This window comes from Homo sapiens, chromosome 6, assembly GCF_000001405.40.
Source record: "Homo sapiens chromosome 6, GRCh38.p14 Primary Assembly".
Lineage (NCBI taxonomy): Eukaryota > Metazoa > Chordata > Mammalia > Primates > Hominidae > Homo > Homo sapiens.
The window spans coordinates 48,826,272-48,838,204 of record NC_000006.12 but is presented as its reverse complement, the minus strand read 5'-3'; the positions used below and the strand labels follow the sequence as shown (position 1 = coordinate 48,838,204).

General features: G+C 33.5%; 1 annotated feature.

Moving 5' to 3' along the window:
* Positions 10,233–11,432: an enhancer, noted in NCBI's record as "P300/CBP strongly-dependent group 1 enhancer chr6:48794410-48795609 (GRCh37/hg19 assembly coordinates)". NCBI's record gives its function as "activates an origin of replication core promoter dependent on BRD2, BRD4, P300/CBP, MED14 and CDK7 cofactors, with strong dependence on P300/CBP, by STARR-seq in HCT116 cells {active_cell/tissue: HCT116}" and the evidence as "EXISTENCE:reporter gene assay evidence [ECO:0000049][PMID:35650434]".

Below are 11,933 nucleotides of genomic sequence, written 5' to 3'. Positions count from 1 at the left end.
CATGTTCCTCCTCTTACTTTCAGCAATGCCCTACTCTGTCTGTGGATTAGCTGTTCTTTCACTACTTTACTCTCTTCATAAACTTGCTTTTGCTTTGCACTGTGAACTCACCCTAAATTCTTTCTTGGGCAAGATCCAAGAACTCTTTCCTGTGGTCTGGATCGGGACCCCTTTCCTGTAACATTTCCACTAAACCTGATTTACCTATTTCCGGCCATGCTTTGTGCATTCTTTATCGTAGGCTCAGGATGAGTAAGTTTCTGTAACTCACTGGAAATTTCAGTCTTCATTCTGAAGGTTCCTGTGTATACATGTTAAATAAATTTTTATGCCTTTTCTCCTATTAATCAATTGGCCTCATGCCAGTAATTTTTTCAGCAAACCTTTAGGGTGCCAAGAGCCTATGGCTCCCATATAGGCACCTCCAAAGAGGTGCAAAGCAATCCTCACAAGATCCATGTCACGTGCATCCGTGTGAAGAGAGTCCACCAACAGGCTCTGTGGGAGAAACAAGGCTGTTTATTTCACCTGGGTGCAGACCTGCTGAGTCTGAAAAAGGGGTCAGCAAAGGGTGGTGGGATTATCATCAGTTCTTATAGGTTTGGGGATAGTCAGTGGAGTTAGGAACAATGTTTTGGGGGCAGGGGTGGATCTCACATAGTACATTCTCAAGGGTGGGGAGAATTACAAAGAACCTTCTTAAGGGTGGGGGAGATTACAAAGAAACTTCTTAAGGGTGGGGGAGATTACAAAGTACATTGATCAGTTAGGGTGGGGCAGAAACAAATCACAATGATGCAATGTCATCAGTTAAGGCTATTTTCACTTCTTTTGTGGATCTTCTGTTGCTTCAGGCCATCTGGATGTATATGTGCAGGTCACAGGGGATATGATGGCTTAGCTTGGGCTCAGAGGCCTGACAATCCAGAACCACTTAAAAGACAGCTCTAAGTCTTGCTAGCTGCAAATAAAATACAACCCACATTTCTGTCTGGCCATATTTTCTAAGATCTCAACTTCTCAGCCAAGCACTTGTGCATGAAGGCCCAAAAGTCCTGTATTCCCCACAAACAGAAAAAGAGAAGAAATCAAAAGCTGTCCATGGGAAGAAAATGGGTCAGTTACAAATGAGTACCCCAACAGGTCAACAGTTAGACAAATAATTTAAAACAAACCAGCAATCAAACATGGACTGCAACCATGAAGTTGGAGTGCTTCTGCAAATCCTGCTGGAGGCAGGCAGCTTGAGTATTTAAAAGATTTTAACTTGTTTCACATTTGGTCTCAGCTGACATGCTGCTTAGCTAAGTCCCTGGCTGTTACCATTTCAGAGACATGAAAAGGTTTACATCAAGGGATTGGCAAGTCCAGCAGGGCATTTAAAGAGTATTGTCTGATATTGGGTCAGTATATCATCAGCATCAATTCATTAGTTCTCATTTAGAGAGGAAAAAAAATTGTGGGATCTCTATTTGATAATGTAAGTAGTTTCATTGTCATTCTGTCATTGCTCCATTTGTTCCCTCTGTTCCCAATGTAAATACATTTCCTTCATTGAGAATAAAATGTGTGCATTGTGGAATTCCAAAAATCTCTGCCTAATAGATGTCTGAGAGCTAAGGGTTCAAGCAGAAAGGGATGAAGTCACATCACAGTGGTAGAAGGAGAAAGAGCAGTTAAAAATGAAAGTGAAAAAGCCTGCAAACTCTTTTAATTTATACATAGTTTCAAATATTATTTTGTTTACCTCCTCAATGGAGGCAATTTTTTTCTTTTAGAATTTTTTGAGGAAGCATTTAAGTATTGTTGCAAGTAAATCTCCCATTCAGTATATCTGGTTCTAAAACCAGCTTTTTCTAATTGTGTGTGCAGATAAATGAATTTAGGTGTTTCAACAATACCTCGTTTAACCATCACAAGTTATATGTGACCAGTTCTCTAAACAGTTTCCTGAAGAAGTGCTGTAAGTATTAAACATAAACCCAGCTCGTGTTTCTAATGGTTGATCTCTCTTTAAGGAAGAAGACTCAGTTTTAGATAATTGAACCAAGATTCAGAATCTGACCACGTGAAGAGATTACAAAGTTTGCTTATGTTACAGTAGGTAGGTGGTCAGACATGAGCAGGGCAGGAGAGTACCCCCAACTCCCACAACCAGGAAAGTCAGACAACCATCAGGTGATGGTCAGGTTGTTGTTAACTGTGTCTCTAAAATAATAATTGGTTGCAGCTGGTGCCAGGGAAAGGCAGTTTCCCAATAGATAGAAAAAACCTAAAATTGGTAATCAGCAGCTTCCTAAGATATCAGGAGTTGGACAAGTGGGTTCAAGCATGTACACTAAGAAGCAAATTGGCAGAGTTTAACTGGTATATAACCTTCTATGAACATCTGACTGGGAGAGGAAGAACATTTTAAGTGGGCATGCATACTACTTTGGTTAAACACACTGTGCATACAGCCCTTCCCAAGTGTAGGCAGGACACTGCACATGTGGAAAGCTCAACCCAAGGGAAGAATCAAGGGAGAAGAGATGCAGACCTTGGAAGAATACAAGTCAAAGGTCAAACCACACACTTGATCTCTCAAGTCGCCTTCTTGGCCCTCTTCCAAGTGTGCTTTACTTCCTTTCATTCTTGCTCTAAACTTTTTAATAAACTTTGACTCCTGCTCTAAAACCCTCCTTAGTCCCTCCTTCTGCTTTACGCCCCTCAGTCAAATCTCTTCTGAGGATGTGGCAAGAATTGACATCACTACAGACCTACAGGATTCACTGCCACTAACACTTAAGCCATAAACATTTATTTCCTCTTTTTAGAGAAAAACTGTGTTTTTCCCCGACCAAATTTTGAGTAAGAGGAAAGGTTGAAAACTCTAACAAGAAAGACAAACAAAAGTTTAATCTCAGAGAAAAGTGTCAAATCTGCAATGATCAGAATCTCCAGAGAAGCTCTACCTTTCAGTATAGCTTAATTTCAACCCCATCAAGTAGGACTGTGTGTGGCTTAAATAAAGTCTTGTTTTTTTTTGTTTTTTGTTTTTTTGTTTTTTTTTGAAACAGGATCTCACCCTGTTTCCCAAGCTGGAGTGCAGTGGCATGATTTCAGCTCACTGCAGCCTCAAACTCATGAGCTTAAGCAATCCTCTCACTTCATTGACCCTGAGTAGCTGGGACTACATGACCACATTTTTTTTTTTTTTTTTTTTTTTTTTTGATGTAGAGACAAAGTTTTGCCATGTTGCCCAGGCTGGTCTCAAACTCCTAAGATCAAGTGATCCACCCACCTCAGCCTCCCAAAGTACTAAGATTATAAGTATGTGGCAGTATGCCCAGCCTTAAACAAGGTCTTAATTCTCAACTAAACCAGCTGGATTCAGATCCCAAGAGGGGCCTTTCCAGAGATCCCTGCCAGCTACTATGAGGTTGAGTGAAATAGCCATTTGTGCTAGTACCAAGGCTTTTGTGTGTGTGTGTGTGTGAGATGGAGTCTCACTCTTGTCACCCAGGCTGGAATGCAGTGGCGCATCTTGGCTCACTGCAACCTCCATCTTCTGGGGTCAAGCAATTCTCTTGCCTCAGCCTCCCAAGTAGCAGGAACTACAGGCATACACCACCACACCTGGCTAATTTTTGTGTTTTTAGTAGAGATGGAGTTTCACAATGTTGACCAGGCCGGTCTCAAACTCCTGAGCTCAGGTGTTCCACTAACCTCAGCCTCCCAAAGTGCTGGGATTACAGGTGTGAGCCACCACACCTGGTGGTATCAAGGTTTTGATTGATATGAACCAGTGGGAATTACTGAAGCTGGGCTTTAGATCCCTTCATGGTTGCCAAAATGTTAACCTTAAATAATGAGATTTAGAAAATATGATTAAGTATAGAGTTTATTCTAGTCTAAAGCTTGAGAATGGCCACCAGGGAGCAGATATTAAAATTGCAATAAATATACACTTCAGTTAGCAGCAATTACAAGTGGGTTTTATAGAAAAAAAGGAGAGGCAGTTTCTAAGTTGTTTACCAAGAATCATCATTAAAATAATATAAATAAAATATAACATAAAATAATAAAATTTATATTTATGTAATTTATATTATATTATACATTATAATATATTATATGTTATAATATGCATTATACATTATAATATAATTTATATTATAAAAAATATAAAATAATATAAATTACAATAATATAGGCTATTGTTTGGTTACACATTGTATCACAAACTCCAGGAACATGAAAATAAAGGGTAAGTCAGGAGCAGAATGCCTTAAAACAATTCCGGTTCCTAACACCCCTCCACCCTCCTACACCCCATCCCCACCCCCAGTGCGGGTGTGTGGAGGGGGTGCTGTGACTGAAGTCCCATACTCATATCTTTCTGGGCTTAATAAGTTTTGCAGGCTTCATATAGCTGAGGCTGCTCAGAGCCATTTTTCTTTTCTCAGCATCTACCATAAAGAGCTAAAAATAGAAGAGCAAATTAAACCTAATGTAAGTAGAAGAAAAGAAATAATAAAGATACCAGGGAAATCAATAATAGAGAAAACAAAGAGTAGAGAAAACAAATGAAATTAAAACCTAGCTTTCGGTTCTATCCCAGGAATGCAAAATTTTGTAAAATTTGAAAATTTGTCAGTGTAATACACCATCAATTGAGTAAAAAAAAACAAAGTTATATCAAAAGATATGAATGAAACACGCGAAAATAGTTAAGAAGCCATGGAACTGAGACTCAGGTCTCAAAAGTTTCCTAAACTTTTATATTAATGAAGACATATTTCTCAGTTTAATATCATTATTGTTTTATGACCTCAGCAATTTAAGCAACTAGATATTCATCTTCTTGGGGCTATTTATTTAATTTTGGTAACCCCAAAGGATGAAGATTACTCATGCAAAATTTTTTGCAGTATGGCTTTGGATCCAGTTTCCTTAAAGTTTTGAAACTACTTGCAACAGCATTAAATTTAAATTTGTTATTTAATATTTTTAATAATATTTACATAATTAATAGATAAGTATATATTTAAATATAAAATTAAAAATATATATATTTATATTATATGTAAAATTAAAATACATATACTTATATATTTATATTTTATATATACTTATATATAAATTAAAATATATGTATTTATATTGTATGTAAAATTAAAATATATATACTTTAATTTTATATATTAAAGTATATATAATATATTATATTTTATATATATAATATGTAATAAATAACTTTATTTATTATATAATATATAATATATTATATATATTATTATATATAATAACATAATATATAATATTATATTATATTATTATATATTATAATATATAAGATATAATATAATATATAATATTATATTATATTATTATATATAATATATAAGATATAATATAATATATAATATTATATTATATTATTATATATTATATATATAAGATATAATATAATATATAATATTATATTATATTATTATATATTATATATATAAGATATATAATATTATATTATATTTTTATATATATTTTTATTATATATTATATATATATTATATATATATTATATATATATAATATATATCATATATTGTAATATAATATATAATATATAATATATTGTAATATAATATATAATATATAATATATTGTTATATAATATAATATATAATATATAATATATTGTTATATAATATAATATATATAATATATAATATATTGTTATATAATATAATATACATAATATATAATTATATAATATAATATACATAATATATAATATAATTATATTATATATTAATATAATATATTTATATTATATATTATATATTTAATATATTTATATATTATATATTTAATATATTTATATATTATATATTTAATATATTTATATATTATATATAAAATTAAAATATATATACTTTAATTATATATATACTTATATATTTATATTTATAGGAAATATAAATATATTTAAATTTCATATATACATATAAATTTATATAAGTATATTTATATTTATATAAAATATATGTTTATTTTATATATAAATATATACTTACCTGTTAATTATATATTATTAAATTATAAATATAAATTATTAAATATAAATATAATTAAAATTTGTATATACTACATAATACTTATATAATATATAATAAATATATTACATACAACATATATGACATATATATTTTATATATTAACACATATTATATTTAAATATAATATATACTATAAAGTTAATTGTGTCACTTTTCTTTACAATGTAAGCTATATTATAAGCTGCAATCATTGTTTAAAATGTAAGCTAAAAGTTTAAATATAATGTGTAGACTGTAGAATATATTTTTGAGATTCACTAGGCTTATTGTGTGTATTGTGTATTAATTTAAAAATACATCTGTCTTTGCTTCTTTCGAGCAAAATATATATGGTATTTAATTATTTCAAAGTGAGTTCTAAAACGTTATACTTTGCTTGAGTTTAAGTCTTTTTAAAAAATCAATAGGTAACAACTCATTTGACATTGAATATTTTGAATTACTGGAAAACCTCCAAGTTCCTAATCTGTTCATCCTTAAAAATAAAGTAAAGAACAAAATAAAACATCTTTAAATGTCATTTGATTAATAAAATGTAGCTTTTATGGAATCTTGAGCTTAATTGGATTGCTGGCATTGCTGAACTCAGATTAAATGCATTTGGATCAATATTAATTGGTTCAACTATGGTGTGTATATCATTGAGTTACTCATTGTTGGATGAATTACACCCCTGCCTGTTTTTGGACAAATTTCTGTCTCCTCTATGATTAAATAATGTTTTAGATAAGTTATTGTTTAAATGATGGCCAGATTCTAAACTCAAAGGATTATATAACTGGAAAACATCACAGCCAATCACTGCCATAAGAAAAAAGACTATCTAGGGAAGACATGATTTATAGACCCTTCGTAGTTGTATTTATATTACTGTTTTCTTTTTTAAATTTGTATACACACAAGAAAAGAATTATTGAAGTAGATGCTCTTCAGTGTACTATCTTGTGTCTTCTTCAAGAACAGAAAATGCTAGAGCCCATCAGTTGTCAGACCCCACCTAAGAGAAATTTAAGCTTATTGTCTCCTGGGTGATGACAAGACTAGTGCAGGTATGCATTAATTCGTTTTGTTGATGCCAAATGCTGAACAAAAATTGTATTTGGCAAAAATACATGGCTGAAATAATATGTGTGGATATTTCAACCTAAACTTACCCTTATTATTGCTACTTTGTTTTAGATATTTTAATATGTATCTATTTCTACATACCAAAAATGTCTACCACTAAACAGATTTATATTAGGAGATTTATTGCCACAATATTATTTAATCTGTATTACTAGTCTCTCCTCTAAAATAAGTATTCATCTCATTTTAGCGCTAGAGTTAAATGTTCTTCCTATGGTTACACAGCTAGTAAGATATGGCTTGGGATTACTCACCATGATTTATTTCTGCTCCAGAACCCAGGCATATTTTTCTTTCATCTTACAGTCTTAGAGAGATAGATCACATAGTGACACAAAATAAATACTATCTTTTAATTTTACTAAATTCATGTCTGATAAGTAATATTGTAATATTTAAAATGTTTATTTATAGACCAGAGCAGGTGCAAGATGCCAAGAATGCTATTTTTTTTTTTTTGAGACTGAGTCTCGCTCTGTTGCCAGGCTGGAGTTCAATGGTGTGATCTTGGCTCACTGCAACCTCCATGTCCCAGGTTCAAGCGATTCTCCTGCCTCAGCCTCCTGAGTAGCTGGAACTACAGGCGCGTGCCACCACCCCCAGCTAATTTTTGTAGTTTTAGTAGAGATGGGGGTCACCATATTGACCAGGATGGTCTCGATCTCTTGACCTCATGATCCACCCATCTTGGCCTCTCAAAGTCCTGGGATTACAGGTGTGAGCCACCATGCCTGGCCAACATCGTTTTCTTGATATGTGTGTTGTACATGCGAATTTTGTAAATTATGCATTTAAATTTTCTAGTAATTGTGAATTTAAGTAAATAATTTCCAGAGATGGAATGACATTATTTTCCTATTCACAAATTTGACATCATACATTTAGAATTGAAAAGGTGACCATAGCTATCTCACACAACACATAAATGGCATGCACTCTAATCTTATTCTCTGCCCATTGATCCTTGAAAGCAAAGGATGTGCCTTATTCATTGTTTGGGGCTCAGCATCTGTCATAGATTAGGGCCATAGAAAACTTCTAGCAAATTAACAAAAAGGCTTTATAAAAGCAAAAAGTTACTCTTAAAGGTAAAATTAAGGGGGCGTAGACCCTCATTCAGATGAAAACTTTTTTTTCATCTTTCGCATTTGCCTTTTAACCCATAACACAAATGCTATTTCTCACTCCACTCCCAAGCCTTCTGGAGGCAGTGGAAGTGGCATGAGAGTAGCCTCTAAATTGTTTGAACAGATAGTGGCAGGTATTGTCTTCCGGCACTAAGACAAGTCACTGGCTTTATTTGTTAATCACATCCTAATCACACCCTAATTCTTGCCCTTTAATTTGCAAATAAGGAAAACAATTATGAGTCAATTGTTAATTAGAGACTTCTCCAGCTGGAGGGAAATTAGCCTACCTGAGTTAGATATGTTTACTTTCATTCTTACTAAGTAGAGTACTCAGAAGGTGTGTCTTCTTCTGAGGCTTTCACTTGGCAAAGATAAAATTAGTAGTCTCTAACGTATAGCTAGTAGAGACCAAGCAAAATATGATTTGTTGTCAGTTGCATCTTTTCTCTTGCCAGAGGCAATTGATTACTGAACTCGTTATAGGTTTAGGAGTGTTGAAGATCATCAGTATCATAACCAAAAGGAAAATAATGTGTTTGAATGTGTTATATGACTTATTCAATTTTTCCTTTTCTGCAAGCACAGTAAAAATTCTCTTGGTAAGGACTGAGACTCACTTACTCTATTATCATATATCCAGGACTAAACAGTGTCTAGCATATGTGAAGAATAGTAAATAAATATTTATTGAATAAATGTTACCATGTGATCTTTCTTGAGAGAAGCAGTGACACAAAAATTGAAAACGTGGTCCAAATCCAATTTGGACTCTATTTTCATGGAGAATTTGAGGTCAACTTATTAAATGAATATTCAACATATTCTGCAGAATGAAAAATAAATCATTGTTATTTTTCAAACTGTTTCAGATACAAAAGAAATCCAAAACAACAATAATTAAACAAGAATTTTTTTTTTTCAAACTTGGTCAAATTCATTTCAAAACAAAACTCAATGCTTTGGAATATGTGCAGCTAAAACTAAGTTTATCACTTTACATCTGAATTAAGTGACCTTGTTTTCTAGAAAACAACCTCAGTGAATGAAAGATACCTTGCTGAGCATCAGAAGACAAAGATTTAAGGACTAACTTCTGAGAACACTTGTACCATCAACAGCTCTGTGTTTTGAGTGTACCCAGCTCACTTGGTGTTCCAATACCAGAGCAACAGGGTGGCCAGCAACAGTGTCCTAATCATAAATAAACAAGAGCCAGATGTGGATGTTTACAGTGAGCCTTTCACGGGAGGCCTTTTTTTTTTTTTTTTTTTTACCTGGTAGAAGGCTTAATGCCTAGTTGTCCTGCCTGAGATAGAGAGCCCCTCACACGGAAAACTTGTTTATACTGGCAGATGCCATTGTGGCTCTTCTCTGACCCCTGATCAGTTTATTCCTGTCTGAGCATCATTCTGGTAATGGGAGAGCTCACCTTGTACACCGCTTTGAACTAAACTCTGATTTTTTGTCTTGCCCAAATTCCTATTTAGGAGTCCTGGGGAGTCATGCCCTACAAATCATAAATTCTTATCAGATGGGTTTTATTTAGTCCTATATATCGTGACTTACTTTCCAACCTGACTCTGGCATAACATTATGAGACAAGGAAGAAATCAAATTATTTTGCCCCAAAAGATGTTTATTTGACATATTTTGAAATGATCCAGCAAAGCTGTTCTTTGTGGGGGGAAAATTTTCATCTGTAGAGAATCTTCATTAACATAGCTAGATCTTTTCCTGCTAGACCTTCCCAATCCTAAACAGATTAATTAAGATCTGAATAGAAAACATTTGTCATCTATTGTCTCTAAGGGCAGCCATTATAAGACTTCAAAAGAACTTTGGTCTCTACAACCTTTTATCTTAACTTGAACATCCCCTTCCTATCAATCCAAGGTCTTTAGACAAACTCAGCCAATTGTCAATCAAAAATGTTTAAATTCACCTATAGCCTGGAAGCCCCCATGCTTTGAGTTGTCCTGCCTTTTTGTACCAAACCAATGTATTTATTAACTGTATTTGATTGATGTATCATGCCTCTCCAAAATGTATAAAACCGAGCTGCGCCCCAACCACCTGGGGCACACGTTCTCATGACCTCCTGAGAGGTTACTCATATTTGGCTCAGAATAAATCTCTTCAAGTATTTTACAAAGTTTGACTCTTCTCGTTCAAACCGCCCCCCAAAGCCCCACCCCACTGTTCCAGGAAAAACCTGGCCTGGGGCTGCCTCCTAAAGAACTAGGGTGTAGTGAAGACTCAGTCACAACTTGAGTCATCTCTCCTCCCTGGCAGAATGGGCTCCCTTTTTGCCTATCCTTCCTGTGAGGAACCATCAAGGCATTTGCCTGCACTGACTTAAAGTTCTTATCTGTGGCTTGAGTCATTTGGGTGTGGCATAGAACTAGAAACTGTGTCGATGGTGACTGAGCCCTGGTATGAGAAAGTAAAACGTGTATTCAAAATGAATGCCCAGGCAACATACAATTTTAAGAATTCTTTACACCCTGAAATTCCATTTCCTCATCTCTTAGGTTCTTGATTTGCTGGAGAGTATTCCTATTAGGATAAAAGAATATAAGGAATAAGATGCTTTCTTTATAAACTACAAGATCTGATAGAGTGTCAGCTGTACCTTGTGGTGCTGTGCAATAAAATGGCTTATGATGTCTGAGTCAGAGCTTCTCAGTTATAGCTCATGGAGGCCTCTGGGAAAAAATGACTTATTAACGCTGAATCATTCTTTTGTCGTTTCTTAAATAACAGGGTAAATTTAGCAATTATTTGTAGTCATGACACATTCTGATTCTAACTGGAGCAAAGATTTTGAAACTTTAAACCAAATGGAACTGAGCATCATCCATCCATTCCACAGACCTGTCTGGAATAATTTTAACCAGGAATCTTAGTGCCCTCCTCCAGCAGCTCTTCCCCAGAGAGTCATAAAGTGATTTTAAAATTTTTATCTGTGATTTACTAGCCATTCCCAGAGGACAAGCCTGCTGATAAGAAAAAAAAAAAAAACAAAACTATTTGGCTTGCTTTTTCTTATTTCTTCACTTTTAATCCATCTGAATGTTCTCTGTATAGCTTGGGTTATTTATCAAAACCCAAAGCACTATGCTTAGAAATAGTATCTTAGAATAACAGCTAAAGTTATCCTTAGGATTAAAAAACAGAATAAATGAGATTTATTTTTATGAGAATCATAAAGTTAGAAGAAATTGGAAGTCTTGTCCTTAAAAATAATCAGAAAAGTAACAAAAAAGAAAAAATCTTATATCACAAGGAAGGAATTTTGTTGTTAATAAAAATGACTTTTAAAGGGGAGAAAGTGAAGTGTTAACATAAGACTGGGCTGTAAGGAATTCCTGATAATGTACTACAGCTTTGCAACATTTAATTCCCACAGACTGTCAGAAAGCTGATTAACTGTAATCAGGAATATGATGTTTGCCACATATTATAGGACCTTTTCGTTAGTGTGTTTTATTTGAGAAATTAAATATGTATTTGACCACTGCTTACATAAACAAACTCAAAAAGAAATTTCTCAAATATCCATCATAGCAAG